General features: G+C 38.6%; 1 protein-coding gene across 2 annotated transcripts in view, besides 1 other annotated feature; it reads right to left on the bottom strand.

Annotated features, from left to right (window-relative positions):
- The window catches only part of ACTR2 (actin related protein 2), a 43423-nt gene that overhangs the window by 4845 nt on the left and 14082 nt on the right, over window positions 1-24496 (bottom strand). The window contains exons 3-9 of one of the 2 annotated variants that reach the window (NM_001005386.3): window positions 24346-24360; window positions 19670-19885; window positions 15310-15382; window positions 12545-12681; window positions 10715-10864; window positions 5017-5162; window positions 1234-1366 (exon numbers count right to left, since the gene is read on the bottom strand). In NM_001005386.3, coding sequence (NP_001005386.1) covers window positions 1234-1366; window positions 5017-5162; window positions 10715-10864; window positions 12545-12681; window positions 15310-15382; window positions 19670-19885; window positions 24346-24360 — 870 coding nt within the window. The remainder of the gene's footprint in view (window positions 1-1233; window positions 1367-5016; window positions 5163-10714; window positions 10865-12544; window positions 12682-15309; window positions 15383-19669; window positions 19886-24345; window positions 24361-24496) is intronic. The other variant, NM_005722.4, reaches the window with a different exon arrangement.
- Window positions 15491-15660: an enhancer, noted in NCBI's record as "experimental_58697 CRE fragment used in MPRA reporter constructs". NCBI's record gives its function as "activates a minimal promoter by MPRAs in K562 erythroleukemia cells, with activity observed for the non-introgressed 2:65477968 variant allele {active_cell/tissue: K562}" and the evidence as "EXISTENCE:reporter gene assay evidence [ECO:0000049][PMID:34662402]".

The raw sequence follows: 24496 nt of genomic DNA, 5'->3' as shown, positions 1-24496 counted from the left end.
CAACCTGGGGCTTTTGCATTTTTCCTGCCTGGAAGATTCTTCCCCCAGACAGTCACAAGGCTCACTCCTCTCACGCTCAACTTAGGTCTCTGATCAAAAGTCACTTCATCCAAAAGGCCTTTCCTGATCACAGTTTATGAAGGAGCACACTACCTCCCCAACCACTAACATTTTCCAGCTCTTCACCTTACTTTTCTTCATATCACTTATTACCACTAATACATTATTTAGACTAAAAGCAGGGATTCTGTTTTCATTGTTTTGTTTGTCCCCGGCACCTAGACCTATGTCTGGCACCCAGGAGTTCAAGAAATGTTTGCTGAATAAATGATCACCTGAGATTAATTATAAATTATATGTAAAACTCAATAAAATCAGAAAAATAAGTGAAGTACTTAGACAGTATGGCTCCTTTCCAGTCTGTTAATCTGTTTAATGTATGTGAGCCCATACTCAATTTAATTTCAACAATGAGTCATATATGAAAGATGTAACATACAGTACTCTGTAATACATAATCTCATTATCTAAAACAGTTGATCAAAGTCAGTGAGACAAAGCTCAGAGATTAACTCAGGATTAGATAACTCTTGGTTAAGTATACAGCACATACTGTATACTTCACATAGTCCAGAGTCTGGTGGAAAAAACACAAAAACCTATGCCAAAGAAACATCAACTATTTCTAGTTTAAAAATTTCTTTCTACTGTACATACCAACAACAACCAATTAAAGTCTGTTTCAAGAGTTATGACAGTCACCGGAATGCAAAAAATTTTGAGACATGATGTTTTTCAATCTGACTGAGAAGACAACATATGCAACAAATAAAGTCAGAAATATGAGATAGCCCAAGAGAAGTGCTGAAGGCTGATTGCATATCCAAAAAATAAGTTTAAAAAAAGAACAAAACTCAAGTGGGGCATTTATTTCCCTATAGTACAGCAGGTTCTTCTCATGCATATACAGGTGCCTCAGAGTCCGTGCTGGTTGTTACAGATGAACCAGAACTTTTGGCCCTGACCTCACTGCCTCCATCCACCAACTCTATAGAGGTGACCAGAGCTTATCTTGAACTATTTCCTTCTTGCTATCATTTCCAGGATGCACTTGACTGCAGTAGGAATTTGTTTTGGAAGACGTCTTGCTCCCTCTGGTGGTTGTCAAGATTCACAAACTACTGTATAGCCTTTTAAAAGAATGTTAGTAATAGTTGATTTACTAATACTTACAGAAAGTTTTTCCACATCACCCTTCAAAACTCGTTCTAAGTAAAGCTGTTTAAGTTCTCGTTCCAACCGTGATGGCAGGCCAGGATACATAGTAGACCCTCCAGAAAGCACAATGTGTTTGTAGAATTCAGATCTAGAAAGGCACAATGGTTATTCATTTGGAGTTTTAGGTTAGGAAAATGGTATCTCAGGGTTACTGTTACTTATGTCAGCCTCGGGGTTGCTGGGAGAATTAAATAAAATTCCACATGTAAATCACAGGGCTGAATATTTGCTGTTATTACTACTGTGAAGTAACGACCCCTCTTTACATATAAAATCTTTTCATAATTTTGATGAAAATAAAATACTTCTAAAAGTATATAATACACTTTTTTGTGAATATAACTGAGACTTCTAATAATGACCAAGATTTACATTACAAACTATTTTATCACATGCTTCCCTAAAGCCACTAAGATGTGGTTGTTTACTATAATTAGCCCTATTCTACTTTAATCCAGAATTCCTGCTTTTTAATTTTTCATTTATCTTTTGTAGTTTTCTTTTTTGTTCCTTTGCTTAGAGGCTGTCTGCTGTTATTTTTGGCTAGACTGATGTGTATGCTTCTTATAGCAGTACCCTCTTTTCTGATACAGTACCCTGCTATCTACTGACAGCAGTACCCTCTATTCTGATATCTATGAGATCAGAAAATCCAATCTAAAAAGACTGCATATGTAGTAAAAGTAACAGAATCTGAGCGAGGGTCTGAGGAATAATTCTCACAGTAAAGTTTGGGAGCTGATTTGCACCCATTTTGGCCTTTTTCAACCTGGCTTCCAGGTTCTCAATGGCTAAAGCTACTGCAACTCTAACAAAGCATTGCTTTTGTATTTAATTGCCATAGCAAGCCCAGTGAATGTCGCATAAACTAAGCAGTTGAAATACAGATTCATGTGATAAGTACTCACAAGCATTTACATGTACATTTTCAACATGCAGAACACACAAAACAAAATTTGAGTTGTTCCACTTTGCAATGCAAACTCTGTGGAGAAGGTACTGAATCTGACTCCGCACTTTAGGTACGTCGAAGCTCTAATCAGCAACAGGCATGTACTTTTCTTTTTTTATTTTTTAATACAGAGTCTCACTCTGTCACCCAGGCTGGAGAGCAGTGGTGCGATCTCGGCTCACTGCAACCTCCGCCTCCCAGGTTCACGCCATTCTCCTGCCTCAGCCTCCCGAGTAGCTGGGATTACAGGCACCCGTCACCACACCCAGCTAATTTTTTGTATTTTTAGTAGAGACGGGGTTTCACCATTTTGGCCAGACTGGTCTTGAACTCCTGACCTCGTGATTCGCCGGCCTCGTGATTCACCGGCCTCAGCCTCCCAAAGTGCTGGGATTACAGGCGTGAGCCACCGCGCCCAGCTGGCATGTACTTTTAAATACAATTTTGCTGTGAATGAACATCAAAGAACAAAATCATCTCCCTAATCCCTATCATGAGAATTTACCATAATTATGAAGGCTAGATTCGATTTCTGATCATCTTCTACCAGGTTTATAGCTTGTTATGAGTCAATTGCTATTTTTATTAATTTCTATTACTATCCTGGCTCCAAAGCCATCCCATCAAAATTAATTAGGTGGCTATTTAACTCAGGGTTACACAAATAAATGCTTGCTGTACAAAATGCTTCTGGGTGAATTCCTCTATAACCTGAGTGTAGAGAAGGGATTTCTAACTATGACTCAAGCTCTAGATGTAATAAGACTATAAATCTTTTTATATGACTAAATAAAAACAAACTTTTGCATGGCCAAAACACTAAGAGCAATAGACAAATGGCAAACAGAGAGAGTATCTGTGAAAGATATCAGAAAGCTAAAAGAAAACTTTTCAAAACTGAAAAAAAAAAAAACCCAAAACTCCAAAATCTACAAAAAGCCATTAACAATTTGCCAAAAAAAAAAATTTAAAATGTCCCTTAAGGCTGGGCGTGGTGGCTCACGTCTGCAATTCCAGCTACTTGGGAGGCTGAGGCAGGAGAATCACTCCACCCAGGTTGCAGTGAGCCGAGACTGCACCACTGCACTCCAGCCTGGCGACAGAGCGAGACTCTATCTCAAACAAACAAACAAGTCCCTTAAACATATAAAAATATGTTTTATATATATATATATGTTTTTTTTTTAGGAACTTTCTTTTGTGGCGGTGGGGAGAGACAGGGTCTCACTCTGTCACCCAGGCTGGAGTGCAGTGACACAATCATGGCTCACTGCAGCCTCTACCTCTCAAGCTCAAGCAATCCTCCCACTTCAGCCTTCTGAGTAGCTAGGACTACAGGAGTACACCACCACCATACCTGGCTAATCTTTTTGAAAAAAATTTATGTAAAGACAGGATCTCCATATGTTGCCCAGGCTGGTCTTAAACTCCTAGGCTTAAGCAAACCTCCCACCTCAGCCTCCAAAGTGCTGCGATTACAGCCAGAAGCCACCACCCCTGGTTTGACTTCACTCTTAATGACAGAAATAAAAAGTAAAATTACACTGAAATAATTTCTCACTCATCAGATCGGTGGAAAAGGATAAACGATACAATTGCCAGAGAGGGAAATTTGGCAATATCTAACAAAAATATACATGCATTTACATCAAACTAAGAAGTTTCTCTCAGCACTTTGGTAGGCTGAGGTGGGGTGGATCACTTGAGGCCAGGAGTTCGAGACCAGCCTGGTCAATACGGCAAAACCCCATCTCTACTAAAAAATACAAAAAAAAAAAAAAAAATTCTGGGCATGGTGGTACATGCCTGTAATCTCAGCTACTTGGGAGGCTGAGGCAGGAGAATCGCTTGAAAACGGGAGGCAGAGGTTGCAGTGAGCCAAGATTGCACCACTACACTTCAGCCTGGGTGAGAGAGTGACATTCCGTCTCAAAAAACAAACAACAACAAAAGAAGTTTCTGCACAGCAAAGGAATTAATCAACAAAGTGAAGATATAACCTATAGAATGTGAGAATATATTTGCAAATCAGACATCTGATAAGTGGTTAATATCCAAAATATGTAAGGAACTCAAATCTCAAATGACTCAATAGCAAGAAAGCAAATAACCCAATTAATAAATGGGCAAAGGACCTGAATAGACATTTCTCAAAAGACATACAAATGGAAAAAATGCTAAGCATCCCTAATCATCAGGGAAATAAATGCAAATTAAACCACAATGAGATATCACTTCACATCTGTTGGAATGGCTATTATCAAAAAGAGGAAAGGTAACGAATACTGGCGAGGATGTGGAGAAAAGGAAACCCTTGTACACTGCTGGTGGGAGTGTGAATTAGTACAGCTATTACAGAAAACAGTATGGAGGTTCCTCGGAAAGTTAAAAATAGAACTACCATATGATCCAGCAATTCCACTACTGGGTGTATCTCCAAAGGATCTGAAATCAGCATGACTATGTAAGAGAGTATCTTTATCCTTAGGAAACACCAACTAGTAAAGAACTGATGCATTTAATCTACCCTCAAACGGTTCAGAAAAAACAGAATGAAAAAGCAAACATGAAGAACATTAGAATTAGTAAAATGGTAAATCCAGATAAAGGATACAGATAAGTTTTCTGCATTTTTCTTGCAACCTTTCCGTAAGTCTGAAATTATTTCAAGTAAGTTTATAAACTTAGTCATTCTATTTAATTCCATCTATTTCTGATAAATAACTTTAAAACTATTTTTATGATTTTTCTGATAAATAACTTTGAAATCACCACTTCTAATGTACCTGGTATCAATGTCAGCTGCCTGAATTGTGTTAAAAAGCAATTCAGCAACACCAACTCCTTCAACATTGATCAAGTGAGGCTGAAATAAAGCTTCTGGTGCTTCAAATCTCTCTCCCCCAACTTTGATGATACGTCCATCTGGGAGCTAGAAACCAAGAATAATCAGGTACTAATCAGCAAAAGATTAAAATTTCCCAGTGTTCTCCGGAACACTAGTACTTATAAATACATCTGTTCTGTAACCAAAATCATTACCAACAACAATTTTTCCTAAAATATATTTGGGGAAAAAAAGGTAAATTAAATAGATTTAGGTAACTGCTCTTATCACATTCTGTTTTGCTTTTAAAAATGTTATGCCAGGCTGGGCGTGGTGGCTCACGTCTGTAATCCCAGCACTTTGGGAGGCTGAGCTGGGCGGATCACAAGGTCAGGAGATTGAGACCATCCTGACTAACACAATGAAACCCTGTCTCTACTAAAAATACAAAAAATTAGCCGGGTGTGGTGGCGGGCGCCTATAGTCCCAGCTACTCGGGGAGGCTGAGGCAGGAGAATGGCGTGAACCCGGGAGGCAGAGCTTGCAGTGAGCCAAGATCACGCCACTGCACTCCAGCAGGGGCAATAGAGCGAGACTCCATCTCAAAAAAAAAAAAAAAAAAGGTATGCCACGCCCCCAAATATCAGGAATTTCTTGGAGAAATCACTGATGCATGAGTGCATGATGTTTGCAGCAAAGCAGAAACAAGCATCACTGACCAACCATTGTATTTTGATTATTGCTGGTATGTGTTACTACAGTTTTATAATTTTAACATATTTGTGATTTTATGGATATTTCTGCTATGTAGAACAGACATGTTAAAACACTGATTGACTGATTGATTGAGACAGAGTTTCTCTTGTCGCCCAGGCTGGAGTGCAATGGCACGATCTCGGCTCACTGCAACCTCTGTCTCCTAGGTTCAAGCAATTCTCCTGCCTCAGCCTCCTGAGTAGCTCGGATTACAGGCATGTGCCACCACGCCAGCATATTTTTGTATTTTTAGTAAAGACGGGGTTTCATCATGTTGACCAGGCGGTCTTGAACTCCTGGCCTCAGGTGATCTGCTCGCCTCAACCTCCCAAAGTGTTGGGATTACAAGCATGAACCACTGCGCCTAGCCACATTAAACATTTTAAATAATTTTATTTCATCAAATAATTACTCTGTGAAACTATTATTTTGCCAAAATACTTTATAACATGTGTACCACTTCTATCAAATCATTTAATCCAAAAAATGTCTTATGATCAAAAAAGTTTACAGAACACTGGTCTAGACTATTTTTATTAGGCAATTCTGTTGTATCCTACTAGGTCCTAATACATTTTAAGTAACTGATAAATATAATTTCAATTTAAGCAAATAAGATTTAAACAAATCAGGTATCATATTATGACTTTGTACAAAAAAATCTTGTCAGTCACACATCATGTTCATATTTAATTAAATGAGAAGTGTTAAGTAGAAACTTCCTCTCATAACACCTCACAATTCACTGGATTGTCCTAAGTAATAAGCACGCCCATGTATGCTAGCATTTGACACATTTCCATGAGATACCAGAATTAATTTTACATTAACAAGTCTAACAGTACATTTATAATTTAATTTTTTTTTGAGACAGAGTCTCGCTCTGTTGCCCAGGCTGGAGTGTAGTGGCTTGATCGTGGCTCAGTGCAACCTCTGCCTACTGGGTTCAAATGATTCTCATACCTCAGCCCCCCAAGTAGCTGAGATTACAGGCATGTGCCACCACGCCTGGCTAATTTTTGTATTTTTAGTAGAGACAGAGTTTCTGCATGTTGGCTGGGCTGGTCTCGAGCTCCTGGCCTCAAGTGATCTGCCTGGCTTGGCCTCCCAAAAGTGCTGGGATTACAGGCATGAGCCACCATGCCTGGCCCTACAATACATATATATTTTTTTTGAGATAGGGTCTTCATCTGTTGTCCAGGCTAGAGGGCAGTGGTGTGATCATGGCTCACTGCAGCCTCAATCTCCCAGATTCAAGGGATTCTCCCACCTCAGCCTCCCAAGTAGCTGGCACTACAGATGCACACTACTATGGCTGGCTAATTTTATTTTTTGTAGAGACGGGGGTCTTGCTTTGTTACTCAGACTGGTCTTGAACTCCTGGGCTCAAATGATCCTCCCATCTTGGCCTCCCAAATTGCTGGGATTATGGGGAAGAGCCACCGCGCCTGGCCAATTACAATGATTGTTTAGATTCCAGCTTTGGTCCCAGCTACCTAGGAGGCTGAGGTGGGAGGATCACCTAACCCTGGGAGATTGAGACTGAAGTGAGCCGAGATCATGCCACTGCACTGCAGCCTGAGCAACAGAGTGAGGAAACCCTGTCTCAAAACAGAAAGAAAAAAAAAAGGTTACCAAAACTTATACCCTTAAAAAAACCACCTCCACCTTCAGGTGGGTTCACATGAAATCACCCAAAATATCTGGAAAAACTTCACACAGCAGATCTTATTAGCAAAACCTCCTGCCTTAAGCACTTGAAGCCTGATAGTGTGGCTTCTCTCCATTCTCTGGCTGCTGGCCAGCATGGGGTCAAGTTTTCTAATCACCTTAATGAACTGTTAAAACTGCAGGCATCCCATTTCTTTGCACCAAATCTTATCCTGTTCTGTATTTGTCCACCCATGTCCCTCCTCACTTATTCATCAGCTTATTACTTTATACTTGTGTATATGTGTGTGTGTGCATATATATATCAAATATATATATGGATTTTGTTTTGTTTTTGAGACAGGGTCTCGCTCCTTCACCCAGGCTGGAGTGCAGTGGTGCAATCCTAGCTCTCTGCCTCAAAACTTGAGCCTTGAACTCCTGGGCTCAAGCAATCTTCCCACCTCAACCTCTCAACTAGCTAGGACTACAGGCACGTGCCACTACGCCTGGCAAATTTTTGTATTTTTTTTGTAGAGACAGGGTCTCATTATATTGCCCAGGCTGGCCATGAACTCCTGGCCTCAAGTGATCCTCGTATCTCAGCCTCCCAAAGTGCTGGGATTACCGGTGTGAGCCACTACACCCAGCCTATTTGTATATATTTTTGTAGCCTACCTCAAATTCTTTGAGAAAAGAGAGAAGGAAGAAATAAAACATGTTTTACATTCCTAGTTTGCTTATCTTTTGCCCTGTGCCAGCCACTTTCTTCCAAAATAGTCAGGTAGATGGAAAATCAGACAACTAGAGAAACTGTCAAGAAGACTTCAGGAAGGAATCTCCAGAGCAAATCTGGAGATGATTAAGTTACAAAATGGGTTTACTCCTAGAAGAAAACCTAGCCAATACCATTCAGGACATAGGCATGGGCAAAGACTTCATGACTAAAACACCAAAAGCAATTGCAACAAAAGCCAAAATTGACAAATGGGTTCTAATTAAACTAAAGAGCTTCTTGCATAGCAAAAGAAACTATCATCAGAGTGAACAGGCAACCTACAGAATGGGAAAAAATTTTTGCAATCTATCCATCTGACAAAGCCTTAATAACCAGAATCTACAAGGAACTTAAACAAATTTACCAGAAAAAGACAAATAACCCCATGAAAAAGTGGGCAAAGGATACGAACAGACACTTTTCAAAAGAAGACATTTATGTGGCCAATAAACATAAGAAAAAAAGCTCATCATCGCTGGTCATTAGAGAAATACAAATCAAAACCACAAAATCTCATGCCAGTTAGAATGGCGATCCTTAAAAAGTCAGGAAACAACAGATGCTGGAGAGGATATGGAGAAATAGGAACGCTTTTACACTGTTGGTGGGAGTGTAAATTAGTTCAACCATTGTGGAAGACAATGTGGTGATTCCTCAAGGATCTAGAACTAGAAATACCATTTGACCCAGCGATCCCATTACTGGGTATATACCCAAAGGATTATAAATCATGCTACTATAAAGACACATGCACACATATGTTTACTGCAGCACTATTCACAATAGCAAAGACTTGGAACCAACCCAAATGCCCATCAACGTTAGACTGGATAAAGAAAATGTGGCACATATACACCATGGAATACTATGCAGCCATAAAAAAATGAATGAGTTCATGTCCTTTACAGGGGCATGGGTGAAGCTGGAAACCATCATTCTCAGCAAATTAACACAGGAACAGAAAACCAAACACCAAATGTTCTCATTCATAAGTGGGAGCTGACAATGAGAACATATGGGCACAGGGAGGGGAACAACACACATGGGGCCTGTTGGGTGGGGGGCGGCAAGGGGAGGGAGGTATAGCATTAGGAGAAATATCTAATGCAGATGACAGGTTGATGGGTGCAGCAAACCACCATGGCACATGTGTACCTATGTAACAAACCTGCATTTTCTGCACATGTATCCCAGAACTTAAAGTATAATAAAAAATAAATTTAAAAAAATTTTAAATGGGGGTTTACTGAATATTTGGATCACTATCTTAACTTTTTTTTTTTTTTTTTTTTTACCGACATGGAGTCTTGCTCTGTCACCCAGGCTGGAGTGCAGTGGCACGATCTCAGCTCACTGCAACCTCTGCCTCCTGGGTTGAAGCAATTCTCCTGCCTCAGCCTCCTGAATAGCTGGGACTACAGGTGCCCACCACCTTGCCCAGCTAATTTTTTGTATTTTCAGTAAAGACGGGTTTCACCATGTTGGCCAGGCTGTTCTCCAACTCCTGACTTCAGGTGATCCGCCTGCCTCGGCCTCCCAAAGTGCTGGGATTACAGGCGTGAGCCACCGCGCCCGGCCAACAACAAATTTTTTATAATTACTTTAAAAATGACTATTTTGCATATATTTGTGAATATGTAGAGCTAGTATGCATCATATGGTTTTAAAATACTTGCCTTCATTGCCTATTACTGTTTCATTTTAGTAATAACTAGATCAAAGATGAGACCTGGAAGTACTTTATACTCAGACAAATTTAATAGGCTTAAGATGGTAATTCATTAAAAATTCAAGTAGGATCAACTCCTCTGGTGTTATAAACTATAACCAGGTACTAAATCTCATTAGTTACAATTTCAAGTTAACATTTAACACCTCATTAAAGAATATTAAGTCAGGAAAGGCTGCCACCTACTGAATTAGTAAAGCAATGCTCTAGAATGACCATTTCCAAAGTATGTTTCTTAGATCACTAATCCCATGAAATTCTGAAAAGTCCTAGAGCATAAGTCTGAAAAACACGCATACTATATTAATTGTGCCCATATTAGCATACCAAAGGCTCTGAGTTCTACAGTGAAGTGAAATCAACTCTTTCTCAAACTCATCTGACAATGTAATCCTTTTTAATTTTTGTGAAATGCTTATTAGCATCTCAGGGAAATAAAGTTCTGTAAAACATACATTGAGAAATGCTATGCCAAATACTAGAATCTCAAAATAACATCTCGCATCTAATTATATCCTAGTATAGAGAGTAATTTATGATTCTTGCCTTAATTTGCATTATATGGTGCCCTAAAATAATTAAATAGAAACTTAATGTAGAAAGAGACATTAAAAGTCACACATATACATATTACAACAACCCAAGACAAAAATACTGATTCTAAGAAAACCTCCTTAAGCTGACACCAATAATCATGGCTGTCCACTTTAAAACACATATATATTATACACTGGAAACACTTACTGTATAAGATTCAACTAATACTGTGGTTTCTAAGGCCAGTTTCTGCTCTTGCTCAATATTATATCCCACGTAACACAGTTTTTCTTTAATCATGCGAACCGTTTCAAAATCAGCAGAGTGGTTGAAGGCGTATCCTCGCAACAGAAGTAGCTGGTACAAAACAATAGCAATAAGTTCATAATACATCTGAATGAGTTCTACTCTGCAAAAGCTAGTAATGCTCATTAAATATGTCACATCAATAACAAACAGAATGGGCAGTGGATCCTCAGCTCCTACTATTTCAGAAGCAGGATTTTATCCGCCATAAAAGGATTTATATTTCAGTTTCAGAGAGGGTAAAAGAATTAACAATTCATAAGTAAGTCAGTAAAATGACTAGAAAAGTCAGTTTTTGAAAAGCACTGCATGAGTACTAATGTTTTGATAGTTTTGATAAACAATCAAAAGTATATTAATGAATAAATATTATTTTAGTACTGGACTCCTGTAGCCTGCAGTTTGCTCACACAATTAATGCCATATTTATGAAATGCCCCCAAGTCTTTAAAAGTTTTATCTTTAGCTTCTAGTACTGTGTCTGGCACATATTAGAAGGACAATAGCATTTGTTTAACGAATGATAAGGGAATTATTGGGATACTCAAAGGTATAATCTCCATTGTTACATTTCTTAAATGCTAGAAAATACTACTATTTTTTTAAAAACCCACTGAGAGAAAAAAAATTACTAGACTTTACAAATAAAAAAAAAATCCTCTAATATTTGAGTCTGTGTTCTAAAGACAACCCCAGAAATTCTGTTAGTTACGCTTTGAATTTTGGCCTAAAATGAGAGTATTATAATTCTCATTAATTTAATCTCCCCTCATGAGGAGGATTACTTTAAATGAGACTGAAGGAACCCAATGTCAAGGTAAAGACAGTGCAACCCAATTTAATGCAGAGACAGGGTTTCTTAATAGCAGCACCACTGACAGACTATACATTGTTTGTTGTGCAGCCAGCCCTATTCATTATAGAATGTTCAGTAGCATTCCTGCCCAGCTCAGACAACCAAAAATGTGTCCAGAAATTGCTAATATCCCCCAGAGGACAGCACTGTCCCCTGGTGAGAACCACTGTCCTGGAGAGGATAGACTGATTATAGAATTGTGGTATAAACAATTTTCTAAATTTTATTTTAATATTAAAAATGATATATGTTAGCAAGTAGACACCTTATGTACTTTCTCCAGTAATGTTTTAAAGAAAATTATAACTAGTTATATTCAGAAATAAACTAAAATAGTAAATATTAAAAACTGCATCTATTCCATGAAAACTACTAAATATTAAAGTCTGGCGTATTTGGGCTGTTTTCCTCAAATATCATTAATTTGCTATCACTGTATTTTGTAGGAAAGGACAAGAGCAGACAACCCAACCAAGATCATGGCTTAAAACATACCTGCTCAAAGAAAGGTTTTATGGCAGAAAAGGCTGCCTGAGCTGTCCAAGAAAGTTTCAAATTAGGGGTCTCTTCTATCCTTGAAATATCTGTCTACTCACTCCTCAGGAATAACAAATATAATTATGTAATGATATAATGTACTCTCATTAGTATACAGAGATCATGTGTGTACACTTTTTTCCTTGTTTTTAATGTATCTTCTTTTTTCTTCATGTGTATAAATCTTATATGAATTTTTATATAAATAAGGGAGGTAATTGGATAATTTCTCTAGTGGTACAGATTTGCTGGAATCCTAAAACGATAGATTCAATTCTGTGTTAAGGTGGTAAACAAATTACAAAATTTAATTTCCATGATATTTTCCTTTCACTTACCTTGATAAGATATCTAGTTATATCCCTCCCAGCAATATCCAGTCTCCTGGTAAGATGAGGGAGAGAAAAGCCTTCATATACTGGGCAAATGTGAGTCACACCATCTCCAGAGTCTACCACTACACCAGTCAATAAACCTGCATAAAAGCCAGGGGGATTTAAATAAAAAGTCAAATCAGGAAAACCAAAGCCAGCGAGTTCCAAATACAGTAGGGAAGCCAAAACAGAAACGTAACCAACTAGAAGCCAGAATTTATTATTTAGTTATTTTGCAGTTTGTTTCTAATGCATAAGTATTAAAGCGAGTGTTCTCTTTTAAGACTTTTAGTCTACTATTATGTGCTGTCCAAGGAGATGAGAAGAAACAGACCCTGAGACTGAGGACTGAAAAACAGGACTTTTTTTTCCTTTTTTTTTTTGAGACAGGGTCTGGCTCTGTCACCCAGGCTGGAGGAGTACAGTGGCTCAATCTAGGCTCACTGCAATCTTCATTTCCTGGGTTCAAGTCATACCTCCCACCTTAGCCTCCTGAGCAGCTGGGACTACAGGCATGCACCACCATGCCTGGCTAATTTTTGTAATTTTTTTGTAGAGACAGAGTTTCGCCATGTTGCCCAAGCTGGTCTCGAACTCCTGGCCTCAAGTGATCTGTCTGCCTTGGCCTCTCAAACTGCTGGGGTTACAGGCGTGAGCCACCACACCCAGCAGAACACGTTCTTAAAGCTCTGTACAATTCTTTATTTTTTTCAACTTAGATAGTTTTGAATATACTACAAATAACATATACTGTGTGTTCTGGAAAAATGCCTATTGATACTAGACAGCTAGAAATCTAAGAAAAATTAAACATGGCTAGCCAAAGCATCACTTTGATTATTCACTGGAACTTATAATAAAAGGCAATGTCAGTTAAACCTCATAATAAAAGAACAGCAAAGAAGCTGCTTTGTTTCCCCTGTTTCCTCAACCTCCTGGGCTCAAGTGATCATCTCACCTCAGCCTCTCAAGTGGCTGGGATTATAGGCATGTGCAACCACACCCAGCTAATTTTACTTTTTATAGAGATAGGGATCTCACTATGTTGCCTAGGCTGGTCTCAAACTCTGGAGATACAGCAATTTGACCACCTTGGCTTCTCAAAGTGCTGGGATTACAGCCATGAGCCACCATACCTGGTCAAAAAAACTTTTTTTATTTATTTTTATTTACATATTTTTTTTGAGACAGAGTCTCACTCTGTCGCCCAGGCTGGAGTGCAATGGCACAATCTCAGCTCACTGCAACCTCTGCCTCCTGGGTTCAAGCGATTCTCCCGCCTCAGCCTCCCAAGTAGCTGGGATTACAGGCACATGCCACCATGCCCAGCTAATTTTTTGTATTTTTTTTTTAGTAGAGACGGGGTTTCACAGTGTTAGTCAGGATGGTCTCGATCTCCTGACCTCGTGATCCACCCACCTCGGCCTCCCAAAGTGCTGGGATTACAGGCGTGAGCCACCACACCCGGCCTAAAACTACCTCCTTTTTAAGTGGATATAATTCCTTGATGCAATAAGCCTCATAAAACTCATATACAGCCCTTGAATGTTGTACTCTTTTAAAAAGAAGAGGATTTCCATTGCAAAAAAGAAAAAAAAAAGGAGGAATTCACACCATCATCAATTCAAAAATACTCCCAGGAACACTGACTAATGCAAGAATTTACATTTTATTTCCCAAAGAGCCCTCCCTACCCACCTCACCTTATTTTCTACCACTTCCATCAGGTCACACACATACTGGCCTTTCTCCAAACACACTTGACCCATTTCCAGTGCCACACTCTTTTCCCACTGGATTATCCCCTGAAGTGCCTAAAAGACTCCTTGGCACATATCTGACAGGCCCAGACATTCTCAGTAAGTTCCTGTTGAATTTATAAGACCATAAAAAAAAAAAAGAGCTCTCCCAACGTGGCCAATATTTTATTTCCAATAAAGAGGGAGGCAGTTGCTAATGGCAATATCAAGAGAATATATAAGTAGTCCCCTCCATTAAACCCACCTCAAAAGTTAGAAATGCACTCCCAAATGTTTACCTTCTCCTTTTTAATCTACTATATATTTGACAGGCATGATTTTATGCTACCTTTTTGAATCTCTGCGTATTTTTTTTAACTCAAGCCAATTCTGGGGACAAATTCCATGCATAAAAAATTAAAATAGCTATGCCAGGCACGGTGACTCATGCCTGTAATCCCAGCACTTCAGGAGGCTGAGGCGGGCGGACTACCTGAGGTCAGGAGTTTGAGACCAGCCTGACCAATATGGAGAAACCCCATCTCTACTAAAAATACAAAATTAGCCAGGTGTGGTGGCACATGCCTGTAATCCCAAATACTTGGGAGGCTGAGGCAGGAAAATCACTTGAACCCAGGAGGTGGAGGTTGTGGTAAGCCAAGATTGCACTATTGCACTCCGGCCTGGGCAACAAAAGCGAAAATCTGTCTCAAAAAAAATTTAAATAGCTTAAAAGAGAGAATATCCTATTTTTTAAAAAATAAGTCTTTAAGCCTTTTTTTTTTACCTTAAATACATATTTAGCAAATAAAAATGTATATAAAATCTTATTTCACAAATTTTAAAAACTGAAAATATTTCAAAGTGTGGTATATAAATAATGTAGTTTTCTGGGGCTTATAACTTATTGAGAAACCAAATTCTCTGACATAAAACATACATAATAAATGTTTGATGAAGTGTTTTTTCTAACAGTTAAGCTTAACCTACCTTGAGCGTACAAAGTCAGAACTGCCTGGATGGCTACATATACACCGGAAAACTGGTAAGTTTCAAACATTACCTGTAAATGCAGACAGAAAGAAAAAAACTGGTATTTAGAAAATTACATAATAAATAAATGTTTTCCTCATGGTCACAGAGTGAATTAATTGCCCAAAATAGAATCAAATGGACCTGAAATAGTCTTCCATTTTCATCAGCTCCTCTTATTTCTTATTGAAGTCCTGCTGCCACAGAGCTCCAAATCTGAAGACAGATTTCTAAGTCCCCAAGCATTTCATAAGCGTGACAAAGCAAAGATTTCTTAGTGTATTAGTTAATGACTAATTAGTGTGAAAGAAAGCTCTCTGTATTGAACAAGACTTTCTTAATTGATATCCCTTAAGGGAAATTCTTTTTTTTTTTTTTTTTTTTTGAGATGAAGTCTCACTCTGTTGCCCAAGCTGGAGTGCAGTGGCGCAATCTTGGCTCACTGCAACCTCCACCTCCAGGGTTCAACTGATTCTCCTGCCTCAGCCTCCTGAGTAGCTGGGACTACAGGCATGCACCACCATGCCTGGCTAATTTTTGTATTTTTAGTACAGACAGGGTTTCACTATGTTGGCCAGGCTAGTCTCGAACTCCTGACCTCATGATCCACCCACCTCGGCCTCCCAAAGTGCTGGGATTACAGGTGTCAGCCACCACATCCAGCCAGGGAAATATCTTTTTTTTTTCTTTTTTTGAGACGGAGTCTTGCTCTGTCGCCCAGGCTGGAGTGCAGTGGTGCCATCTCAGCTCACTGCAACCTCCACCTCCCTGGTTCACGCCATTCTCCTGCCTCAGCCTCCCGAGTAGCTGGGACTACAGGCGTACACCACCACACCCGGCTAATTTTTAGTATTTTTAGTAGAGACAGGGTTTCACCGTGTTAGCCAGGATGGTCTCCATCTCCTGACCTCATGATCCGCCTGCCTCGGCCTCCCAAAGTGCTGGGATTACAGGCGTGAGCCACCGCACCCGGCCGGGAAATATCTTTTAATTCGAAGACAAAATATAGAAATTGCTTTACAGAGCCTCGTACCCCCTCCCTCAATCTGGGCCAAGAGTGTAGCTCTGTCTACCCTGAGCAGCTTAAAAATTAAAAGAAAGAAAGAAAGAAAAAATAAAAAACCCAGTAAAATGCCACGGCAAAGACAAAAATCAATGGTTAATTCCTGATTGCTGGAAGATACAGAAATGGCTTAGCTGCTGAGCCCAGTCCCTACTTGAATCAAGACTGTAATTACAACCTCCAAATGAACTACCCTGGAAGGAGGAGTTCTTTCCTTTTTGCCCTCACTGGTCACACACATGTTCATTCTCTGTAGCCCAGGTCAGCTGGGAACATCCTGCATGATTTTTTTTTTGGTGATCTTGACTGAGCACCCCTTGACTGGTAGGGTTGCCTATCACTCTGAATATCTAAATATTTAGAAATTTTACAACTGACCACAATGAAAATTACACAGAATTTAAATTCTACAACTCTGAAACACATACTCATCAATTAAGCAATTAGATAGTCTGAATAGTATTTTATTCCATCATCCTTTATTCCACCTCCACAGGGATGAAAATGGAAGAATGATCATATATATGCACATACCAATGTGAAAGCATGTTAATGAGATTAAGGTAGGACACTATCAGTCATAGACATATTTGTAGTCATAAACAAATAAGAATATTAAAATATAAGCCATAAGAAATCATATGGATTCTTTAAAACCATGATCTTAGATTTTCAAAACACTTAATACAAAAACTGAGTTTTAATACAGGCTTTAAAAATACTAACAACATTTTCTTCTAAACCCTTTCAAAAATTTCCATCAACATTTAAACATATTCGTAAACAAAATATGTACATTAAACAGTAACTGGAAAGCTACAGAAGTTATTAAATTTCTACTTCATATATACAAAAATAAAAGAACCTTGAAAAATTACTTATTTAAACTATGAGGATCATAGCTCTCTTGCTCTCTCTTTCCTCTGTAACTGCTTATTTCATTATTTCATTAACTTTTTTTTTCTTTTTCTTTTTTCTTTTTGAGACAGAGTCTCGCTCTGTCGCTCAGGTTGGAGTGCAGTGGGGTGATCTCAGCTCACTGCAACCTCCACCTCCTGGGTTCAAGCAATTCTCCTGCCTCAGCCTCCTGCGTAGCTGGGATTACAGGCGTGCACCACTATGCCCAGCTAATTTTGTGTTTTTAGTAGAGACGGAGTTTTGCCATGTTGGCCAGGCTGGTCTCAAATTCCTAGTCTCAAGTGATCCACCCGCCTTGGCCTCCCAAAGTGCTGGGAGCCACCTAGCCCGGCCTCAATAACGTTTTCAATCTCCTTCTGCTGGCTCCTCCTATCTCTCTGGTCCTTGGCCTTTTCACCACTGTCTACCCTCTTCTTTGTTGAACCGTATCATTTATAGCCCTACCTTCAAAACAGACCTATAATCTGGTAATTTCTCACTATCTCTACTACTACTACTTCAATCCTAACCATCATTATCTTTTGCTTAAATGACTGAAAAAGTCTCCAACTCTTCTATCTTTGCCTCCTTGTGGGATACTCACAACACAAGAGAAATCTAAATCTGAGCATCTCCTTTTCCTGTAACAGCCCCATATTTCACCCACAGTAAAAGCCCAATTCCCTTTTTTTCTTTTTGAGACTGAGTCTCACCCTGTCGCCCAGGCTGGAATGCAGTGGTGTAATCTCGGCTCACTGCAGCATCTGCCTCCTGGGTTCAAGCGATTCTCCTGCCCCAGCCTCCCAAGTAGCTGGGATTACAGGCACGCACCACTATGCCCAGTTAATTTTTGTATTTTTAGTAGAGATGGCGTTTCACTATGTTGGTCAGGCTGGTCTCGAACTCTTGACCTCGTGATCCGCCCACCTCGGCCTCCCAGAAGTGCTGGGATTACAGGCCTGAACCACCACTTCCAGCCGCCCAATTCCTAATTAGAGCCTACAAGGCACCAATATTACTTACTCGACCTCATCTTCTGTTGCTCTCTCCTCAACCACACTGGCTTCCTTGCTTATTCTTTAATATACCAAGCTTGTTCCTAACTTAAGACCTTTACACTGGCTACTCCCTTTATCTGGAATACCATTCTCCTATATACCCTGGCTAACTCACTTACCCTGTCTGTTTAAACATCACCTTCTCACAACCTATGTACAATTACAACCTCCCACTCCCCGTTAACCTGATTTATTTTGCCTTTAGCATCTACAGCTGATCCATGAATAACAACAAGTTTGAACCACACAGGTCCACTTATACACGATTTTTGTCAATAAATCTTTCCTGCCTCCCCTTGCACCTCTTCTGTCTCTGCCACCCGAGACAGCAAGACCAACCCCTCCTCTTCTTCGTCGGTGTGAAGACAATGACGATGAAGATCTTTATGATGATCTACATCCACTTAAGGTATAGTAAATGTATTTTCTCTTATGATTTTTTATTTTTTTTTGAGACGGAGTCTCGCTCTGTCGCCCAGGCTGGAGTGCAGTGGCACGATCTCCACTCACTGCAAGCTCTGCCTCAAGGGTTCACGTCATTCTCCTGCCTCAGCCTCCTGAGTAGCTGGGACTACAGGCACCCGCCACCACGCCCGGCTAATTTTTTGTATTTTTAGTAGAGACGGAGTTTCACTGTGTTAGCCAGGATGGTCTCGATCTCCTGACCTTGTGATCTGCCCGCCTCCGCCTCCCAAAGTGCTGAGATTACAGGCGTGAGCCACCGCGCCCGGCCATGATTTTCTTAACAGTATTTCCTCTAGCTTACTTTATTGTTAAGAATATAGTATATAATACATATTATGTTATCAGTAAGGCTTCTGGTCAACAGTAGGCTATTAGAAGTTAAGTATTTTGGGTGGTAGTTAAGTTTGCACGTGAGTAGGGAGGGTTGGTGCCCCTAACCCCTGCATTGCTCATGGGTCAACTGGATCACTCACCTTCTAACAAACCATTTAATTAACTCTGTAACTGCTTATTGTATTAGCCTTTTCAGTCTCCTTCTGCTGGCTCCTCCATAAAAACTTAATTAACTTAATTAACTCACTAAATTAAAAACTTAATTTTTTTGGTCTGTTTTTCCCTGTTAGAATATATACACTCCATGGCAGTAGGATTTTTTGTTTACTGATCTATCCTACTTTCCTACTTAGAATAATGACTAGCATATAGTAGATACTTAATAAGATCTGAAGGAAAACAATTATTTTTATTCTCTTTATCCATAGCAACAGTAAGAAAATTTTTGATTTAACATAATATCACAGAAATACACATATGCATATCCTGCATAAAAACTCACCTCTACAATCTTCTCTCTGTTTTTGGTTGGGTTCATAGGAGGTTCTGTGAGTAAGATTTTACAATTTCTGGTATCTATATTAAGTTTCTCTGGTCCAAATGTGTAGTCCCACAGGTGTTTCATGTCATCCCAATTTCGTACTATGCCATTTTCCATAGGGTAGTTAACTTCTAACATTGATCGTAATTCACTTGCCTCATCACCAACCATAAGATCCTAGAAAATTATGTCAAAGCTGTAGATCAAAGTTTTGCATAATATTTAAGAAAACTTGGGAATAATTAATTTTAATATTTCTGACACTTGCAAAATAAATCTTTTTATTCCACAAGTTAGAAAATCTTTTCTATCAAGAACAATGTCTTAGAAAGTTTAATCATGGATAATACATTTTTACATACAATGTGGTTTAAATCAATAAATTGACCTTACCTTTAACACAAATGTTTCCAAAAGAAGAGCATTAGCACAAATAAACCCCACATTTTCATATTTTGGAGGGTTTTGTATGAGGTTTCATCTGTTTCTTTTGCTCAATTGTTCAAAAAATAAGGCCTGTGATATGTGAAATAGCACATCAGGGGGAAAAAAACTTGTAGAAAAATGCTCAATGCATGCAGCACATTTCTTTGCACTAAATATCAAAATGATAAATGTAAGTACTATAAAGCATAATGAAAGAAGCAAAAAATAAAATGATTCTTTATTACTCTATAATAATGCATACATACACCAACTAATAAATAGCACAAACTTCTATCTACATATGCCTGAATAAGAATTTAAACTGTTTCTACATATGCCTCACCAAGGTGAATGAGAATTTGTAGAGTTATAAAAAATTAAGATATAGGCAAATAACCCATCCTTTAAAATTGTCTCCTGAGCAACATTTTCAATCTTAAAGTATACTGGAAAACTACACCATCACACATGAAGCATAATACTCACAAGTCTTGTCTCCAATGAGAGCATACTTAAGATGACCCACATTTGAAAGTCACATTTTCTATATATAATAAGTAAGGATGTCCTAGCATTTAGACTTATTTTTAGAGAACAGCTAGTCAAGAGGTTAAATAATACTAATTTCTACATATGTTGATAAATTCAATTAAAAAAACTAGTATCAGAAGTAGATATTTGCTACAATACGTTAAGTTTTAATTATGGAGAGACAAAAAAAAGCAGCAGCAAAATTAACACGAGATTATTTTTTTGAGACTGAGTCTCGCTCTACTGCCCAGGCTAGAGCGCAGTGGCATGATCTCAGCTCACTACAACCTCTGCCTCCCAGGTTCAAGCGATTCTCCTGCCTCAGCCTCCTGAGTAGCTGGGATTACAGGCACCTGCCACCACGCCTGGCTAATTTTTGTATTTTTAGTAGAGATGGGGTTTCACCATGTTGGCCAAGCTGGTCTCAAACTCCTGACCTCAAGTAATTCACCCATCTCGGCCTCCCAAAGTGTTGGGATTACAGGCATGAGCCACCACACCTGGCCAACATGAGATGTTTTAAAACAAAGGCTTAAAAATATATGAGTTTTAAATTAAAAAAAAAAGAAAAAGAAAATATCAGAGATGAAACCAAGGTGAGGACTCTAACAAAAAACCAAACAGATCTCTGGAAAATCCACTAAAAGCATCAAAAAGTATAACAAAGTTAAAAACAGATGCTAGAAATGCTCAGTAAAAATTTGTTGCAATTTCTTATGAAGTTCATTTACCATAACTTACTAACTTATTACTCAAATATCTGAAATATTAAATGTTTACACTCTTTTTTTTTTTTTTTTTTGAGATGGGGTCTCACTCTGTCACCCAAGCTGGAGTGCAGTGGTGCCATTATTGCTTACCACAGCCTCAACCTCCCCAGGCTCAGGTGATCCTCCCACCTTAGCCTCCCAAGTAGCTGGGACTACAGGCTACATGCCCAGCTAATTCTTGTATTTTTAGTAGAGACAGGGTTTCACCATGTTGCCCAGGCTGGTCTTGAACTCCTGGGCTCAAGGGATCCGCCCACCTCAGCCTCCCAAAGTGCTAGGATTATAGGCATGAATCACCACACCCAACCGTTTAGATTCTTCTATGAGGAATATGCAAAACTAAAAATCTGTATTTGTGAATTCTAGTTAATAACATGCACATGTTGAAGTATTCAGGGAGAAGTATACTGGTATCTGCAACTTACTTTGAAATCCATCAAAAAACAAGATGCACTGATGAATGAACAGATGAACAGATATGTAATAAATCAGTATGATATATATTAATGTCAGAATCCAGGTGATGGATATACAAGTTTCATTGTAAAATCATTTCAATATTGCTACATTTTCTTAATACTGCTTAATAAAATGTTAGGGGGGAAATCTATACCTGTAATTATATATACCATTTTTGTTACTAACTTTACGTCTTTTTTGTGTGTTGTACAAGATAACAGATTAGATAATTAGATAATATAATCAGTATTATTTCAACCAATTTGAAATAAGTCTGATCTGATTTCAACAGAAATTTACTTTTTATTTAATGTACAAATAGGGGCTTACATTTACATGACCCAATGCCAACTCTAAATAAATGCCTCATGTATCTACTTCTAGGACCACACATACTATAAAGGATTAACTGAAAGAAATGTTTGGAATTGAGTATCCTTACCTTCCTCAGAACAAACAGGACATTTAAAATGGAGTATTAACTTATTTAAGAAGTACAAAGTTTGACTATACAAGCTATCCAATTAAAAAATTTTCATATCGAAAATTTTAATAAAAAAATCCTACTAAGTGTTATATAACTTGCCTTCATCACTCAGAACCAAGTTATAAGTGATCAGATCAGACCTTAGGTTTTAACCACCTGCCCCGCCACTGAACATCACCTATCTGAAACAATGAAAAAAATCACAGTAACTGAGATGCTGTTTCAAAGGTATTTATACTTCATGAAAAGTGGGTAGTAGGGATTACATTTGCCAAGAATCATTTTGAACAATGTCACCTCAAATTAGAATACAGAGTAAACTCAAGTTCAAAAGCACAATTAAATCCCTAGAAGAAAATTCCACTGAAAACATTTGTTTGTTTGTTCAATTAACTAATAGAGGCAGGGTTTTGCTCTGTCACCCAAGCTGGAGTGCAGTGGCCCTGTCATCACCCACTGCAGCCTCAAACTTCTGGGCTCAAGCAATACTCCTGCCTTAACCTCCCAAGTTGCTTGGGAGGCACATATCACTATGCCTGGTTACTTTTTAAAAAACTTTCTATAGAGACAGGGTCTTGCCATGTTGCCCAGGATGGTCTTGAACTCCTGGGCTCAAGCTATCCTCCCACCTCGTCCTGCCAAAGTGCTGGAATTATAGGCATGAAACACCTCACTCGGTCAAAAACTTCTGTTAAAATAAGCCTACACTGTTCTCTACAAGCGCACTCTTTCCTTTTCTTTTCTTTTTTTTGAGATGGAGTCTCACTCTTGCCCAGGCTGGAATGCAGTGGCGTGATCTCGGCTCACTGCAACCTCTGCCTCCCGGGTTCAAGCGATTCTCCTGCCTCAGCTTCCTGAGTAGCTGGAATTACAGGCACACACCACCACACCTGGCTGATTTTTCTATTTTTAGTAGAGATGGGGCTTCACCATGTTCGTCAGGCTGGTCTTGAACTCGTGACCTCGTGATCCACCCGCCTGGGCCTCCCAAAGTGCTGGGAGTACAGGCACAAGCCACCGTGCCCAGCAAGCACACCCTTTTCTTAATCTCATTAGAATATAAACACAAATGTTATGATCTTTTATTTAGGATAAATTTCCTCTTTTAAATGTTTTTGTTTATTCAAAAGAAAACTTCACAAAGTTACTATTACTAGTTAAAATATATATTAGAAGTGCCTGATTTTTGTCAGAGATTCTTACAAACAATATTAAAAACAAACTTGAAAAGTATCTACTACAGAAGCACTTAGACTATCACAGAAAAATACAATGAAGAGTTAAATGTCTGAGATAAGACCAGCAAGCTTATAGTTATAAAGAAAAACACACTGTACAATGTTTGGGGGGGAAATCTGTTGTTTATAGAAAAGCTTTACCTTTTTCTTATTTATCCTCAGATAACGTTGTGAAATCTGCTCATCAGTAAGGATGATATGGAAAGAATTCTCTTTTTCTATCTATGGTTTATTTACATATTAAAATTTTACTCAGTTTATTAAGTACACATATGATACCACACTAGATGCAAATATATATACAGGCTATGACAGTCAATGTTCAATTTAATACTGGTCAATAAAGTGAATTTATTCAAATGTAACAACTTCACTTGAATTTTTTGGATCACACATATCCTATATAAAGCCATCTGGTTTCTAATATTATGCACAACACATTCCATTTTAATTATAACATTCATCTACAAGAAAAACAAGGAAAACAATTCAAAACTATGTTAGTAATTAGTTCTTGTTTGGTCCATTGTACGCAATCAGGAAAGTATAGGACTTAATTAGTTGCTATCAAATTGAAGCAATGAAAAAGGTTAAAAATCAAAGTACTTAAAATAAAAATATGGAAATAACCCCCCCTCCCCAATACTAAAGGGACACAAAACAACAACTACTGTCCCATCAAGCAAAAGTGGAAAACAAACAGAGCATGTGTGTAACCTCACTTACCATCTTTTTGTTATTCTACTTCAACGGGTCAAGAAAGGTGAAGAGAGAGAAGGTAGAAGTAAGAGTCAGAAAAGGCCTAAATAAAATCCTCACTGAAATGTTTAAACATACAAGCAATAGAGACAATTAGGTTGAGGTCAGATGCAGTACT

Source organism: Homo sapiens, chromosome 2, assembly GCF_000001405.40.
Source record: "Homo sapiens chromosome 2, GRCh38.p14 Primary Assembly".
NCBI lineage: Eukaryota > Metazoa > Chordata > Mammalia > Primates > Hominidae > Homo > Homo sapiens.
This window is presented reverse-complemented; position numbering and strand designations above follow the sequence as displayed.